Below are 18489 nucleotides of genomic sequence, written 5' to 3' on the forward strand. Positions count from 1 at the left end.
GCGTGTCCTTTCAGGTCATTTAAGGTCTTATTGATCCTCCTTGCTGAGTCCATAGATCAATTCTTGGGAAAAGATGCTGTGGCCAACTTTTGGAATGTCTTTCAGACAAATTTAAAGAGCCCTGCTCAAATGCTCCTGTGCTCAAGATAGAGGACCAAAAAGAAAGCAGCCCTGTGGTAGGCCTTGTACTGTCTCCTTGGAGAAAAATGCCAGTTGAGAGTAGGTCTTCTGAAGTTATAAGCATCACTTCCCAACCTGGCATCTGGGGAATGTCTTAAGTCTGAGATAGTGTGAGTTCTTCAGCAGAGCAGGGAGCCTGGTTATTACTCAGCTGTAAAGTCTTGGCACCTCGACCTCACCTGTGTCCCCTGTTCTGTGCTCTCCCCCAAGATGGTGTGGCAAAGGTTGTGATTTGAACCAGGTCAGGTTCATTCTCAGTTGTAGACAAGATAAGAGAGAGGGGCAAGTCAGTGATCTCTCCCTTCTCGCCAATCCTATAGAATTTGGAGTATCTGCAACTAACTTTCCTTAATATTTCAAAATAATCCTTCTGAAAATGTGCATTGAGAATTGTGGAATTGGTTATATCCAAGCAGAGTCATCTTGTTTATAGGCTCATTTTCATCTAAGGGGCTATTTTTATTGCTGACATATACCTTTCAAGTATTTGGAAAGGTTTATCGTGAATGGAATGTATCCTGAATGGAATGTAATTTGGCATCTCTGAGCTCATTTGCACCACACAATAATTCATCCCCAAGACCAGAGATGTTTAAGGACTCTCCCAGGATCCCACAACTGAAATGTGGCCAAATGAGGCTCAAATCAAGGCCCATTGGGTCTTCAGCCATACTTCACACTTCATGCAGAGTGACAAGACTCCTCAGAGGGTGGGCATCGGAGGGCAGGGGTGAAGCAACAAGAGATGGCATTTAGAGACAGTCTGCTGTTTCCCAGGAGACTGAGTCACATCATTTCATTTCATCCTGAAAATGACCTTACAGAATATGATCTCCATTTATAGATGAGGAAACCCGAGACTGTGAGTTCAAATAACTTGTCTGGAGTCACATAAGTAGTGAGAGTGGGATTGGAACCACAGCTGTGCAAACCATGAAAAGGCACAGATAGAGGAAATGGAAGTAACAGGACAGTTTTGGAGAAATAATTCTAGATTATTGAGTAAAGGAAAAGTTCTTAAAGAAGCTCTACATCAGTTTTATGGTGCCATACAAGATGGACTTATGGAGTGTGTTAATCTGTTCTCACATTGCTGTAAAGAAATACCTGAGACCAGGTAATTTAGAAAGAAAAGAGATTTAATTGGATCATGGCTCTGCAGGCTACACAGTAAGAATGATGGCATCTGCTCAGCTTCTGGGGAGGCCTCAGCAAACTTACAATCATGGCAGAAGGTGAAGGGGGAGCAGGCAGTCACATGGACAGAGCAGGAGCAAGAGAGAGAGGCAGAAGGTGCTACACACTTAAACGACCACATCTCTTGAAAACTCACTCACTATCATGAGGACAGCACCAGAATGATGGTGCTAAACCATTCATGAGAAATCCACCCCCATGATCCAACCACCTCCCACCAGGCCCCACCTCCAATATGGGGGATTACATTTCAACATGAGATTTGGGAGGGGACAACATCCAAACTGCATCACAGGGGAAATGACAAAATCACAAAAGCGTATACATGGCTGGCCTCTAGTGGCAGAGGAGAGCTTTGGTCTTGTCTCTGGGGGTATGCTTTTGTGAAGGTGTCCCAAGTGACCCCCATCCCTTATTTGAGATGATATACTTCTTGGGTTCAAGTTGTTCAGTTTGTTTTTCTGGTTCTGGTGGCTGAGTGGAGGGCAGAGATTCTCTCTGCAGCAGATGTGCCATCCTTTACAGTGCCTAGCATGCTGCTGGACGTACAGGTGTCCAGGAGGTTTGGCAAGCATATTGCCAGGAAAAACTTCTACCATTGAGGGCCCAGTGCAAACAAGCTCACTATGAGCAGGCTGGCTGGCCATGGATAAGGAGGACCATCTTAGGAGCAAGTTACAGCTGACAGATGACTTTTGAGCTGTGGAAATGGAAGACAGAAAAATGCTTTTTGAAGAACTTCATTAATTTTTATTTACTTATTTATTTTTGAGATGGAGTTTGCTTGTTGCCCGGGCTGGAGTGCAATGGCACGGTCTCAGCTCAGTGCAACGTCCACCTCCTGGGTTCAAGCGATTCTCCTGCCTCAGCCTCCCAAGTAGCTGGGATTACAGGTGCCCAATACCATGCCTGGCTATTTTTTTTTGTATTTTTAGTAGAAATGGGGTTTCACGTGTTGGCCAGGCTGGTCTCGAACTCCTGAACTTAGGTGACCCACCCGCTCGGCCTCCCAAAGTGCTGGAATTACAGGCGTGAGCCACCGAGCCCAGCCGAACTTCATTAATTTTTTAAAAATCCAGTCTTAATCTATAATTTTAAATCACCATTTACTTTATTAATTTTAGAAGAAAAACATTCATTGGAGAGATATTAAATAGAATATCAAAAAGAAAATGTAAAAATCACTCAAAATCCTAACAACCAACAGTAACTACGATAAACAATCTGGTATATGCCCTTTCAGACACTTTATAAAAATGTATAAGCATAGCCAGGTGTGGTGGCTCACGCCTGTAATCCCAGCACTTTGGGAGGCTGAGGCAGGCTGATCACAAGGTCAGGAGTTCGAGACCAGCCTGGGCAACATGGTGAAACGCTGTCTCTACTAAAAATACAAAAATTAGCTGGGCATGGTGGTGTGCACCTGTAGTCCCAGCTACTTGGGAGGCTGAGGCAGAAGAATCGCTTGAACCCAGGAGGCAGAGATTGCAGTGAGCTGAGATTGTGCCACTGCACTCCAGCCTGGGTGACACAGCGAGACTCTGTCTCAAAAAAATATCTATACATATATATACGTATATACATACATATATATGCATAGATTAAATGTGTCCTCTTAGTAGCTGGGACTACAGGCGTGCACCACTACACCTGGCTAATTTTTTAATTTTTTTATATAGATGGGGTTTCACCATGTTGCCCAGGCTGGCCTTGAAATTCTGAGCCCAAGCCATCCACCCACCTCAGCCTCCCAAAGTGCTAGGATTACAGGCATGAGCCACTGCACCCAGCCACAGTTTTTTTGTTGTTTGTTTGTTTGTTTTTTAGACAGAGTCTCGTTCTATAGCCCAGGCTGGAGTGCAGTGGCGTGATCTCAGCTCACTGCAACCTCTGCCTCCCGGGTTCAAGCAATTCTCTGCCTCAGCCTCCCAAGTAGCTGGGATTATAGGTGCCCACCACCACGCCCGGCTAATTTTTGTATATTTTTAGTAGAGACGGGGTTTCACCATCTTGGCCAGGCTGGTCTTGAACTCCTGACCTCGTGATTCACCCACTTTGGCCTCCCAAAGTGTTGGGATTACAGGTGTAAGCCACCGTTTTTTTATAGTGTCATTCAAGATGAACTTGTAGGCCAGGAGTGGTAGCTCACGCCTATAATACTAGCACTTTGGGAGGACGAGATGGGTGGATAACTTGAACCCAGGAGTTTGAGGCCAGCCTGGGCAACATGGCGAAATCCTGTCTCTACTTAAAAGAAAAAAAAAATGAACTCGTAGGCAGTGTTCTTAAAATTAATAATAAAATTGTAAACATTCGTAATCTAGAAATTATTTAATGTGTAGAAGCAAGCATCATATGCTTTTGAGAACAGTAGATAATGTACTTGCATGGAACAACATCTAGTAAAAATAAGCCAAAATGTTAATAGTAATTATCACAGGATGATGTGATCTCAAGTGATTTAATTTTTTCTTTTTGCTCATTAAAAAATGTTTCTTATGATGACTATTATTGACTTATATAGTTATAAAAAGAGGTTGTTAAAAAAAAAAAAACCTTACCAGCTGGAGGCACATTACTTTTCTAGACTTTATTTTCTGTATATGTAATATGGAAATTCTAGAAATTACTCTATAGAGAGGTTGTGTGGATTAATGGATAATGCAGATAAAGGGCTTTAAGGAGCTCCAGGCACACGGTTGAGTGTACACTACATAGTGGCCACCAGCATCCCTGCTGTCATCTAATTCATTTGTGCTTCTGCCTCTACTCTTGCCTGTTCTTCATGGGTAGGAGAGTGGCCTTTCAAGTCAGATCACATAAGGCTTTGCCCTGCTTAAAGCCTTCCAGTGTAGCCAGGAGTGGTGGCTCATGCCTGTAATCCTAGCACTTTGGGAGGCCGAGACTGCTTTGTTCTATCCTACCTCAGGGCCTTTGCATTTTGTTCTGTCCTACCTCGGGACCTTTGCATTCACAGTTCCTCCTTACCTGGGATTCCCCTCCCCTTATCTTCTCTTAGCTGGTTTTTGGTCTCAGCATAAAAGTCACTTCCTCAAAGATGTCTTCCCTGGCCACCCAACCAAGGGTAGCTACCCAGCCACACTTCTATTGAATACTTCTCTGGTTTAATACTTCCCTTTGTTAATTTTCATCATAGCATTTGTCACCACCTTACACATTCTTGTTTATTCTGTTACCTAGTCTGCGTTTCTCCACAGGCCTTGTTTGTCATGTCAGAGCTGTCACGGCATATGCAGAAGGGTGTCTAGCACATTGCAAATGCTCCAGACATGGGTGTTAAATCCTTTCATTAATTAATTAGATTATCTTTGTCAAGTGACTGAACGGTTTAATCACCTCCTTCTCAGAGGTCTGGTGTTTTCCTAAGGAGGCAGAGGGCAATTATGTCACTTTATTTCTACATCCCCCACCCTCCACCACTACCCCCAATTAGAAAGAGGATGATTTAAAAAAACAAAAAACGATGGGTGCGGTGGCTCATGCCTGTAATCCCAGCACTTTGGGAGGCTGAGGCAGGTGGATTACCTGAAGTCAGGAGTTCGAGACCACCCTGGCCAACGTGGTGAACCCTTGTCTCTACTAAAAATACAAAAATTAGCTGGGCGTGATGGCAGGCACCTGTAATCCCAGCTACTCAGGACACTGAGGCAGGAGAATCGCTTGAACCCGGGAGGAGGAGGTTGCAGTGAACCGAGATGGTGCCACTACACTCCAACCTGGGCAACAGAGCGAGACTCCGTCTCAAAACAAAACAAAACAAAACAAAACAAACAAACAAAAAAACACATCTGTTTCTCATGTTCTTTAAGATGTGGCTAGATTCCTACCTTTCCATCCCAGATTGTTTTTTTGTTTTGTTTTGTTTTGTGTGTTTTTTTTTTAAAGCTGCCGAGATTTGAAAAGAGAACCTTTGCAGACTTTAATTCTGATACATGAGGCAGGACAGGCAGTCCCCACTCTACAAAGAGGTTGTGTTCCGAAAGTTTCATTGTGTATGTTGTTTGTTTCCAACACAGAATGCATTTTTCATTGGAAACAATGTTCCCAGACTAGCCCACAAAAGCCTATTTAACCCACTATGCTAAGTAGAAAACAAAATGCGTTTAAATTCTAGGAAACACAACAGGGAAAATGAATAAGAAATACAATTTAAATGTTTATGTTGAATATTAGTGCTTGGGGAAAAGCAGCTTCCAACAAAGAAGAAAGAAGCAGCAAGGGTCAGGGGTGTGGAAGATTCAGAGAGCGGAGTGGAAGCCCAGCTGTCATGGCCAGGCCACAGTCCTGCATCTGACAGGGCTGTGGACGAAAGCCGAGTCTGTCCTGGAGCAGCTGGGCCTGGGCAGGTCTGAGCCCGTGTGAGGAACATTCCTGCAGATGCACAGCATGCAGAGGGCAGGCGGGGCTGACGCACACACTTCTCCCCAGTGAATTCTGGAGGCTGGAGTCAACCTATAGAAAGTCTTCCATGAGGCCGAAATTGGAGTGTGTGATGGGGGTGGCTCCTGGGTCTCATGGAGTTCCTCAGAGAGCTTCTGCCTGAGTTATGTGAGTATAAGCATGATACTACATCTTAAAAAAATAATGGGCTCAGTTTTAGTTTCGTTGGTGTTTACCACATGGTAATTTCAGGCATTTCCCCCCTATATCTGATATTTGTGCTGCTACTTTGAGGCAAAAGCTTTTTATCTCCTAAAAGGCCCCCAAAGCAGGGGCCATCTCCTTATAGAGGAGGTCTTCTAAAATTTCTCACGTTTTTCCAGAATTTGAAATTTCTCCTATTTTGAATAAGGAAGTGTTCTATTTGGGAAAGACCCATTATCCTGAAATCAAGCCTAATTTTGGAAGCTTGTAGAAAGAGTACCCCAGAAGAACTGGTAAAGAAGGAAGCAAAGAAATTGAAGACACAGTTAGGAATTATTCCTGCAAGGAGTACTTCATAATTATTAAGTGTTTTATGTCAAGTAAATGAACTCCTAAATATCACTTAAAAGCAATAGCAGTAAATAGTTATATTTTAGATGATGAATCTAAATTTAGAGGACAAATTACAAAATGGGGTAACATTTCCAACAAGAGTGTTTTATATGGAATGTTAAGTGCTTAGGCAGGAAAAAGAGTATGATCTTGAAAATTATATGGGATGATTCTGAAAGGGGGTCTAGTGATGAAGACATTAGTGTCAAAGATGTATGTGAAGAGTTTGAATAAAATTGTTTCAGGAAATGTGGGATTGAAGATAGCTATATTTCTATGCATGTAGCAAAATTACATTTGTACCTGATAAGTTAATACAAATGTTTAAAAGCCTGTATTTCTTTTCTTTCTTTTTTTTTTTTTTTGATACGGTGCTTCACTGTCACCTAGGCTGGAGTGCAGTGGCACCAGCTCAGCTCACTGCAACCTCCACCTCCTGGGTTCAAGTGATTCTCCTGCCTCAGCCTCCCGAGTAGCTGATATTACAGGCACATGTCACCACTTCCGGCTAATTTTTGTATTTTTAGTAGAGATGGGGTTTTGCCATGTTGGCCAGGCTGGTCTGGAACTACTGACCTCGGGTGATCCACCCGCCTCGGTCTCCCAAAGTGCTGGGATTACAGGCATGAGCCACCACGCCCGGCCTAAAAAGCTATATTTCTTAAGGTATTGTTTTATGTAATGTGTGATTTAAACATATGTGCAACCACAGAAGGATAAAGATCACGTGCTCTCACTCTTATGTGGGAGCTAAAAACGTTGAGCTCACAGAAGCAGAGAGTAGAATAGTGGTAACTAGAGGTTGGGAAGGGTAGAGGGAGAGGGAAAATAGGGAGAGGTTGATTAACATACAAAATTACAACTAGAGGCTGGGTGCGGTGGCTCACACCTGTAATCCCAGCACTTTGGAAGGCCAAGGTGGGTGGATCACTTAAGGTCAGGAGTTCAAGACTAGCCTGGCCAACATGGCGAAACCCCATCTCTACTAAAAATACAAAAATTAGCCAAGTGTGGTGGCACACACTTGTAATACCAGCTACTTGGGAGGCTAAGGCAGGAGGATCACCCCAACCCGGGAGGCAGAGGTTGCTGTGAGCTGAGATCACGCCACTGCACTCCAGCCTGAGTCACAGAGTGAGACCCTGTCTCAAAAAAAAAAAAAAAAATTACAGCTAGAGAGGAGGAATAAGTTCCAGTTTTTTATAGCACTGTAGGATTATAGTTAACAGTAATTTACTATGTATTTTCACATAACTATCAGAGAGATTTTGAATGTCACCAACACAAATAAATGATAAATGTTTGAGGTTATGGTATGCTAATTACCCTGAGTTGATTATTACACATGGTGTATGTGTATCAAAATATCATTCTGTCCCCCATAAATATATACAATTATGTGTCAATTAAAAAGTAATATATATGTGCAACCAAATTAATCTCTGAAATATCATAGACATTTGAATCTTGTCTACATCCTAATAGTTTATATATCCAATTAGGCTAATTTGGAGGAAGGGGAATCTCATTGGAAAAATAAGAATTGTATTACATATGTCCTCTCTTTGCATTAAGGCATATGTGGAATACATCAGTACAAGTTTGCTTTTAAAAGAGGCAGAGCATACTGGACTAAGACTATGATAAAGCCCGGCGCAGTGGCTTACACCTGTAATCCCAGCACTTTGGGAGGCTGAGGTGGGTGTATCACTTGAGGTCAGGAGTTCAAGACTGGCCTGGCCAACATGGTGAAACCCCGACTCTACTAAAAATACAGAAATTAGCTGGGCAACGTGGCATGCGCCTGTAATCTCAGCTACTCAGGAGGCTGAGGCAGGAGACTCGCTTGAACCCAGGAGGCAGAGGTTGCAGTAAGCCGAGACTGTGCCACTGCATTCCAGGCTAGGTGACAGAGGGAGACTCCATCTCAAAAAAAAAAAAAAAAAAGTATGATAAAAAGATCTAGGCTCTAGTTCTGGATTTATTACTGCAGCCACGTCTTCTGGACAGGTCAGTTGTCTCTCCACGTTTCAGTTTTATCAAATGGAAAAAATGAAAACTGTCACACTTCTTACATAACTTCTTTTATTATCTGTATTGTAAATACAGAGTCTCAATTATTGACTAATTTATACTAATAGTGGGAAGCAGTGTCTAGATAATCCCAGATGATTACTAATTTAAAACTACTTTACATTTTATTTAGTAATGTGTTTGGAACAGTTACATTTTGTAGCTACTTACAATTTTACTTTAACTGAAATAATAAGACAAGGCCATAAATATTGGCCTCCCTGGCTGGGGAGTTGTGTGGGTTTCCTTTCCAGGCAGTTGAGGTTTTCCATGGAGCCTACTCTACAGTGTCAGCAGGAGTATAACATAGAAGGCTTCCAGGTCAGGTGGCCCAGAGTCAAATCAAAGCCCCATCCCTTTTTAGCAAATTTCTCAGCCTTACTTAGCTGTGCCGGCCTGCCTCTTTCTAAAATGAGGAAAATAATAATACCCACTTCACTGGTTTATTGAGAGGATTAAATGAGGACGTGTTATTTCACACCATTATTGCTTCTGTTGTTATTATTTTAAAATCTAGGTTGGTGATTGCATCAGTTTCTTAGGGCTGCTCTAAAGAAAGTACCACAAGCTGAGTGACTTACATAGCGGAAAAGTGTTTTCTTACAGGTTAAGAGGCTGGAAGTCTGAAATCAAGGTGTCAGCAGGGCCATGCTCCCACTGAAACCCATAGCGGGGAATCCTTTCTTGCTTCTAAGTTTCTAGTGTTTCCTTGGCTTGTAGATGTGTCACTTCAGTCACACGGCCATCTTCCATCTTCTTCTTCTTCTTCTTCTTTTTTTTTTTGAGATGGAGTCGCTGCTGTCGCTCAGGCTGGAGTGCAATGGCGTGATCTTGGCTCAGTGCAAACTCCGCCTCCTGGGTTCAAGCGATTCTCGTGCCTCAGCCTCCCGAGTAGCTGGGACTGCAAGTGTATGCCACCACGCCCAGCTAATTTTTGTATTTTTAATAGAAATGGGGTTTCACCATGTTGGCCAGGCTGGCCTCCAACTCCTGACCTCAAGTGATCAGCCCACCTTGGCCTCCCAAAGTGCTGGGATTACAGGCGTGAGCCACTGGCGGCACATGACCACATTCTTCCTGTGTCTTTACATTGCCTTCCTGTGTGCACATCGGTCTTTGTGTCTAACTTTCCGCAATATGACACTAGTCATATTGGATTAAGGCCCGCCCTAATCATGATTTCAACTTGATTACATCTCCCAAGCTCGCTCTTTCTTTCTTTCCTTCTTTCTTTCCTTCCTTTCTTTCTTTCCTTCCTTCTTTCTTTCTCTCTCTCTGTCTCCCTCCCTGCCTTCCTTCCTTCCTCTCTCTCTACCCTCCCTCCCTTCCTCCCTCCCTCCCTCCCTCCCTCCCTCCCTCCCTTCCTTCCTTCCTTCCTTCCTTCCTTCCTTCCTTCCTTCCTTCCTTCCTTCTGCAGTGGCACAATATTGGCTCACTGCAGCCTCAAACTCCTAGGCTCAAACAATCCTCCCACCTCAGCCTCCAAGTAGCTGGGACTAGATGCATGTGCCACAATGCCTGGCTAATTTTTATTTCTTATTTTTTCTTGCCCAGGCCGGTCTCAAACTCCTGGCCTCAAGCAGTCCTCCCACCTGGGATTGCAGGCATGAGCCACTCTGCTTGGCCAAAGCCTGTATTTCTAAATGAGAGCACATTTTGAGGTTCTGGGGGTTAGGGTTTGGACACAATTGAACCCATAACAGTAACAGTTCTTTCTCTCAAAAATTCTCCAAAGTAAGAAAAGTGTTTTACATTTTGCTGTCTAAAGTCTCTTCCCTGCAAGATGTTATCACCAAAGAGTTTGTTACTTATCAAGAATGTTTGGATACAAAAACTTAAGTTGGTTCTGTTTGTGAGTAAACTTGAAAACGAATTATTTGTTTTGTTTAAAGAGAGAAGCATTCTTTCAGGCAGGACTCTGTCAAGAACATGTTACAAACTGTCTCATTTCCAGTGAACTGTTCTCTGCCTTCCACCCAGACAAGCACAAGACAACACTCCTGTCCGCTCTAGCTGGCAGCAGAGCCTCTCACTGGGTCTTGATTTCAAATGGTCATCAGAATTTATCCTCATGGTCCCTGGTCTTCACTAGAGAGCAAAGTCCCTGTTTTACTCATTGAAGCCAAGCAGACCTGGGTTCAGATTCAAGCTCTATCACCAACAGCCAGTTAGTACACTAACGTCTCTGAGCCTCAGTTTTCTCATCTGTAACATGAGGGTGATAACACCTCATAGGCTGGTGGTGAGATTTGGAGTGCCTAATGCCTGGTAGACAGTCTGCAAATCATGGTGCTATTATCATGGAAGAATAACGTTTGGGGAACTTTGGGGGACCTTTTCTATCACTTATTTGGGCCTTCTGCACATACCCTTCCAAGGGCACAACAGTGGGCCTGTAACTTACATCAGCAGAGGAAAAGGTATAATTTGAATCTGGCCTTTGGGACTTGAATAGACAAAAATGTCACTTTGCTATCAAAGGAGGAGGTATTGTCTCTGTCCATCTACCCGCCTTTCTGATCTACCATAGGCAGATCTGAAATAGCAACACTTTACTGTGCACAAATGAGATCAATGCAGAAGAGAAGCAACTTTCATTTGGGAGAGAAGGTTAAGTTTAGAGCCTGGGGTGCAAAGGCAGAGGTGGATCTGGAGAGGACCATGGAGTCAGGCCAGGGGGACACTGAGGTGTTAGGTAGGCATGAGGTTGAGGAGACACAGCCTCTGTGAAGGATGCAGGGCAAGTATAAGCAGAGAAGGGGGAGATGCTAAAGACAGGACAGCCTCCTGCCTCTTAGAATTCTGCCCAGGCTCACCCTGCTGGGTAGACTTCATTTTAAACTTTATTATTTTTAGTTTTTAAGACAGAGACAGAGTCTCACTCTGTCGCCCAGGCTGGAGTACAGTGGTGCAGTCTTGGCTTACTGCAACCTCTGCCTTCCAGGTTCAAGTGATTCTCCTGCCTCAGCCTCCTGAGTAGCTGGGATTACAGGCACCAGCCATCATGCCCGGCTAATTTTTGTATTTTTAGTAGAGACGGAGTTTCACCATGTTGGCCAGGCAGGTCTCAAACTTTTGACCTCAGGTAATCTGCCCTCCTCCGCCTCCCAAAATGCTGGGATTACAGGCGTGAGCCACTGTGCACGGGCTGCACCTTCATTTTGAATTTTGAATTCTTTCCCTAATTATGATTCCTCTACTCGGGCAGAAAGCCCCTCTCCAAATGCCAGCTTCTTCAACACAAAGATGCTTAAAACCCAAGGCCTCCCTCATAAACTGATTGGCACAGTAAGCAATAGATCAAGAGCAACTATAAAAGTCTTGGCTGTGTTCCTTGAGGGACATATTAAGAAACCCTTGAGGGCACATTCCCTCTTGCCTGGAGCTTTGGGAGGTCTATAATCCTGGAAAGGACTCAGGCAGGTCTGTGGGAGCCAAATTGCATCAGCCCTAGTTTCAAAAGTGTTATCTTTTGCTCTTTGTGATTGTAGCTGAATTAGTTGATTGTAGTAACAAAGGGGTAAGTGCCGAATTGCGTGCAAGTATGCTCCTCATCCCTCAAAGACAATATCCAGATGTCCTTTATATCCCAAATCCGTTATTAGCTTCTGAAGATTTCCAAGTTTTTTTTATAGCAATTGTCACTCAATAACTTAATGCATTAACAATGAATTTTCTAGACCAAGTATAGATCCAGGTCATTTCTTCTCTCTGAGCCTTGGTTTATCTGTGAAAGAAGGTTGTAGGAGCAACAACTAAGGCTTCTGATTGTGATCAAATCCTACATCTTGAGAAGCAATGGCCCCAGGCGCCTGTGGTGGGGATTAACACAGAGCAGTATGCAGCCATCTGTAACAAGCAGGTGAAAGTGGGCTAAAATGTGCATCAAGTACTCCCTCAAAGGGGAAGAATCCATCCAGACACTCTTATCTTTCATTCGACAAACACATATTGAGCACCTGGAACGCATGAAGGAACAGCAAAGAAAAGGCTCGGGTTCTGAAAGTGCTCCCAAGGCGAGGCAGGTGGAGGCAGATCACAAGAACCCTTGGAAGGGCAAGTGCTGGGAGATTTTTCCAGGAGGTGAGAGGATTGCAATCTATGTCCTTTGATTTTAAAAATCCTGCCTAGTTTCCCCATAGGTCGCCTCAATTTGTTAGGCTATGTGTCCCTATTTTGGGCTCAAAAATTTTGATCAGGGTGAACATAGGGTAAGATAATCATGAAAATGCACCCTATACCTCCCTCATACCGCTGAAGTCAGAGAGACAAGCCAAGGGCTGCAGTGCCCAATTTGTCTTGATGGTGACTTTGGTGCTGGGTTAACGGCTCATGTCATGCATGTGTGTGTATGAGTGAGAGAGTCTTTACATTACTAGCCCTTCCCAATCTTTCCCTGAGTTTGGGAGAAGGTGGGTAGAGACTAGACCAAGGGCCAGCTCTGCCTGTGGCTCTTTTTAAAACCTGTTTTTCTAGATCATGTAATGAATCTAAATACTGGTCCGTGAAAAAGGAAAAAGGGGTCATTATCTCTCATATTTCACATCCAGGAATATTAAACAATTAAAAGCTTACCTAATGTTCCCAAGGTCATATGGTGAATTAGGAACAGAGACAGAGAAAGGATTCTAGTTTCTGGTCCTTCTAGTTTTGTTGCCTCAGCTTTGGATCTTGCTGCCTCTTTAAATCCCACATTTAGCTAGAATTGGGAGCTGTAGCTGTGAATTGGCTCCATCACTTAAAAAAAGGGGGTGCGGAATACTTGCTTTCCTATAAGGCAAAACTATCTTATAACTCTACTGAGCAAGGCCTAAGAGATTGTCAAATTTTCAGCACATGTGAATATCCTTGTTCTTTCAGCTATTGGTATTCTGCAGCAGCTGCCTCACAGAGCCTGGAGAGCTCCAGCAAGGATGGGCCGGAACTCCAGCTGCTGGTGAGCAAGTGTTCACTATTTATAGCGGGAGGGGGGCTGCAAAGGAATGGAATTTTTTCCTTCTGAGTAGGGTTGATGCAACCAACAGGAAGTGGGCTCTGGTGGATACTAAAGGAGATCACATGAATATAGCTTATTACAGTACTTATCATACTCGAGCGTGCTTCAGAATCACCTGGGGGTGCTTGTTGAAAGACAGATTGCGGGGCTCCACCCCCAGAGTTCCTGATTCACCCTGTATCTTAGCCAGTCGGGCTGCTATAAAAAAGTACCATAGACGGGGTGGCTTAAACAACAAACATTTATTTCGCACAGTTCTGGAGGTTGGGATGTCTAGGGTCAAGGTGCTGGCAGATTTGGTGCCTGGTGAAGGCCTGTTTTCTGGTTTATAGACAATGACTTCTCACTATGTTCTCACATGGCAGAAGGGGTATGGGAGCTCCCTAGGGCCTCTTTTATAAGGGCACTGATCCTATTCATGAGAATTCTTCCCTCATAACCCAATCACCTCCCAAAGGCCCCACCTCCTAGTACCATCATCACCTTGAGGATTACGATTTTGTCATATGAATTTTGTGGGAGACACAGACATTCAGTCCATTACAGTAGCGAATGGCCCAAAAATGTGCTGATGCTGCTTGTTCAGAGACCACACTTTGAGAACCACTGCTCTATTTTTTATTTTTATTTTTATTTTTTGAAACATGATCTCGCTCTGTCACCCAGGCTGGAGTGCAGTGGGGCGATCTTGGCTCACCGCAACCTCCGCCTCCTGAGTTTAAGCGATTCTCCTATCTCAGCCTCCCAAGTAGCTGGGATTACAGGCACGTGCCACCATGCCTGGCTAATGTTTTTGTATTTTTAGTAGAGGTGGGGTTTCACCATGTTGGACAAGCTGGTCTCAAACTCCTGACCTCAAATGATCCACCTGCCTCAGCCTCCCAAAGTGCTGGAATTACAGATGTGAGCCACCACGCCCAGCCCTCTGCTCTGTTCTAACAAGTGGATTGTACAGGGAAGAGTCTTTGTATATAGCAGCAGATTAAACCAAAAGAATGCACTGACATGCACAAAAAGACTCTTTCTGGTGATCTTACTGTCAAATCAAAATCAGTTGCTTCTGAGCCAGCATTTCCAGGGCAAAGGTATTATTTTATAAATAAAGAAAACTTCACCAAATGTAAAGGTTAGGACTCATAAGGACTATATATCAACATAATTTAATAAAAATTGTTTTTTATTTCTCTTTCTTCTTGCTCTAGTAAAAAAAATGCAATTAGTTTGGTCATATGATGATATTATAGTGTTTGGAGTCAAGGCTGGCAAACTTGACCTCCATTTTCAACTCGGAGCACAGCCTAGCATGGGCCTGGGGACTGAAGAGGCTGTCTCAATCTTTGATTAAGAGCCAGGGGAAAGTGAATGGGTGGGCCCTGGAAGAATGTGGCTTATCTGCTGAGTAGACCAAGACCTTAGCTTTGGCCTCTCAGTTTATTGGATGAGATTGGCCTGTTCAGAAAAACCTTTGGTTCAGGTTTTTCTTTTTGCTTGAATTTTGATATTTTACATTTTCCTAAAAATTATCCATTTCACTCTGATTTTTAAACTATCAGCATATAGTTGTGCAAATAATTCTTTTACAAGAATTATAGTTTCCTATATATGTGTTAATCTATTTGTATTTTCCCCTAGTTTTTAAAATTAGACTGTAACCAGCCAATAGGTTCACCTTGCCCACTGCCTAGACAGAGTTGATTTATCAAGACAGGGGGATTGCAATAAAGAAAGAGTAATTAACACAGAACCGACTGTGTGGGAGACCAGAGTTGCTTTATTATTACTCAAATCAGTCTGCCCGAGTATTCGGAGATCAGAGTTTTTAAGGATAATTTGGTGGGTGGGGAGTGGGGAGTGCTAATTGGTCAGGTCAGAGATGAAATCATGGGGAGTTGAAGCTGTCTTCTTGCGCTGTTCAAGACCAGTTAATGGATTATTTATTATTGTTTCTGGTTGTTTTTTTTTCCCCTCAGTGGAACCAGCTCTTGGATTTCTTTATCCATATGAAGACCTGCAAAGGGCCTGATATTTTTTTTTTCTCCTACGTGCCGGCTAACAAGTTAGTCTGCCAGTGGTCTCCTAGGTGAGAGATTTGTGCCAGTTCCCTAACCCCAGTTCCACCTAACATCATGAAAGTCTCATAATGTCTGCACACAGAGTGGGTTACAGGAGAGGAATCTAAGTCCTAAATTTAGGGAACCGGAATCTTTTATAAGGACAGTAAGCTGGGCGCTTGGCTCTGGGTAAAGACCCTCTCTTTGTCTTGCAAAGCTGTTTGCTATACAAACGTCCCTGAAGAGATGGTCCACAAGAAAGGCAGCCAGTGCCTCTGCCTCTGCCCCTGTCCTGAGGTATTCACAAACCAAGAGATTTTGGAGAACTGTCTCCCAACAATCAATCAATCAATCAATCCCACTGATTTTGTCTTTCTTTCTTCCTTTCTTTCATGCCCTTTCTTTTCTTTTTCTTTCTTTCTTTCTTTCTTTTTTTTCTTTCTTTCTTTTTTCTTTCTCTTTTTTCTTTCTCTCTTTCTCCTTCCTTCGTTTCTCTTTCTTTTCTTTTCTTTCTTTCTTTCTCTTTCTTTCTCTCTCTCTCTCTTTCTTTTCTTTCTTTCCTTTCTTTCTTTCTTTCTTTCTTTCTTTCTTTCTTTCTTTCTTTCTTTCTTTCTTTCTTTTCTTTCTTTCTTTCTTCCTTTCAGGATCTCATTCTGTTGCTCAGCCTGAGTGTGGTGCGACCCTAGCTCACTGCAGCCTTGAACTTCTGGGCTTCAGTAATACTCCTACCTCAGCCTCCTGAGTAGCTAGGGCTATGGGTGCATGCCACCATGCCTGGCTAATTTTTAAAATTTTTCTGTAGAGATGGGGGTCTCACCATGTTGCCTAGGCTGGTCTTGAACGTTGTTTTCAAACTAATTATATTCTTTCATTTTTAGTTCCTTCCTTCTATTTTCCTTATATTTTAAAAAATATTCTTTTTCTATTTTTCTTGAGTTGGATAATTACTTCCTTCACCTTCACTGTTCTTAAGCTAAAATGATTTTAAGATTGTGACTTTTTCTTTGACCAAATATTGACTACATCTCATAAGCTTTAATAAATAGTGTTTTCCTTATTATTTGCTAAATTATCTAGTTTTTCCCTGTTATTTATGGAAGTCAAAGGTTTCATTTATTTATTTATTTATTCGAGACAGAGTCACTCACTGTCACCCAGGCTGGAGTGCAGTGGTGTGATCTCAGCTCACTGCAACTTCCGCCTCCTGGGTTCAAGTAATTCTTGTGTCTCAGCCTCCTGAGTAGCTGGGCTCACAGGTGTGTGCCACTGCACCTGGCTAATTTTTGTATTTTTAGCAGAGATGGGGCTTCACCACGTTGGCCAGGCTGCTCTTGAACTCCTGACCTCAATTGATCTGCTCGCCTCAGCCTCCCAAAGTGCTGGGATTACAGGGGCAAGCCACCGAGCCTGGCCAGCAGTCAAAGGTTTTAAACTAAATTAATCAATCATCTTTAGGTTCCCTTGCTCTCTTGGTTTGCTCTGGAAGCTACTTTCTTTTCCTCAGACGTTTTTAGATTAAAGCTATAAAGCCCTTTTAATAGGATCTCTGTGACTTGTGTGTTAAATTGCACTTCATTGCAATTTAGGAGGAAATGGAATTTGGAAGATAAAAGTTCAAGTCCTGACTCTGCCACTTTGTACTGGTCACCAAATAAATAACCCACTTTGAGTCTCACTTTTGTTTACAAATATAGGCTCGAATTTCATTATCTCTGAAGTCCTTTTCAATTTATGACTCCAAGAGATTTTGAATTAATTTCAATTAAACTGGTTTAATGATTTCTAGCCTGACTTGTTAGTTGAGGCAGCATGGCTATAGAAACTGGCAAAGCTGAGTTCAACCCATTCCTTGGGTGAGCAAATGCTTCTGTTTCCTCATGTTTTCTTCTGTGACTCTCACAGAGGAGGGAAAATCCACATGGCACTAGGGGCTCATTTCCTCCCCTTTGGTGGCATCTTGCCTGGGTTAGCCAAAGGGACAAAGAGGCTGATGCCAGAGACTGAGCTCTGCAGCCTACCCTTTCTACCAAAGCTGTTTCCTGGCTCGAGAAGCTCCAGCACTACAGTGTTATCTAGATGTTCTCCTGTGTATTAGTCAGTTCTCACACTGCTAATGAAGACATACCCTAGATCGGGTAATTTATAAAGGCAAGAGGTTTAATTGACTCACAGTTCCACATGGCTGGGGACCTCACAATCATGGCAGAAGATGAATGAGGAGCAAAGTCATGTCTTACATGGTGGCAGGCAAGAGAGCTTGTGCAGGGGAGCTCCCAATTATAAAACCATCAGATCTTGTGAGACTTATTCACTGCCACAAGAACAATATAGGGGAAACCGCCCCCATGATTCAGTTATCTCCACCTGTCCTCGCCCATGACACGTGGGGGTTATTACAATTCAAGATGATTTGGGTGAGGACACAGCCAAACCATATCACCCTGCTTTTTTCTCTTTCTGTGTGTGCAGCACAATTGGGCCCATCCCCTCTTGTAACAGCCCAGGGGGTTCACCTTGCCTGCTGTCCAGACAGAGCTGATTTATCAGGGCAGGAATTGCAATGGAGAAAGAGTAATTCATGAAGAGCCAGCTGTGTGGGAGACTGGAGTTTTATTATTACTCAAACCAGTCTCCCTGAGCATTCCAGGATTAGAGTTTTTAAAGATAATTTGGCGGGTAGGGCCTCAGGAATGGGGAGTGCTGATTGGTCAGGTTGGAGATGGAATCATAGCGGGGTTGAAGTGAGGTTTTCTTGCGTCTTCTGTTCCTGGGTGGGATCGCAGAACTGGTTGAGCCAGATTACCAGTCTGGGTGGTGTCAGCTGACCCATCAAGTGAAGCGGCTGCGAAATCTCTCAAGCACTGATCTAAGGTTTTACGATGGTGATGTTATTCCCAGGAACAATTTGGGGAGGTTCAGACTCTTGCAGCCAGAAGCTGCCAGACCCCTAAACTGTAATTTGTAATCTTGTAGCTAATTTGTTAGTCCTGCAAA

The 18489-nt window shown here is 43.3% G+C and overlaps 1 long non-coding RNA gene across 1 annotated transcript; it reads left to right on the forward strand.

Annotated features, from left to right (window-relative positions):
* The first annotated feature begins 5678 nt into the window (after positions 1 to 5678).
* On the forward strand, positions 5679 to 17170 carry LOC105377451 (uncharacterized). Its single transcript, XR_939251.4, has 3 exons — positions 5679 to 5946; positions 13309 to 13384; positions 15415 to 17170. It is a non-coding gene; the product is annotated as an uncharacterized LOC105377451 (long non-coding RNA).
* Positions 17171 to 18489: the final 1319 nt, after the last annotated feature.

Source organism: Homo sapiens, chromosome 4 (assembly GCF_000001405.40).
Source record: "Homo sapiens chromosome 4, GRCh38.p14 Primary Assembly".
NCBI classification, from domain to species: Eukaryota; Metazoa; Chordata; class Mammalia; order Primates; family Hominidae; genus Homo; species Homo sapiens.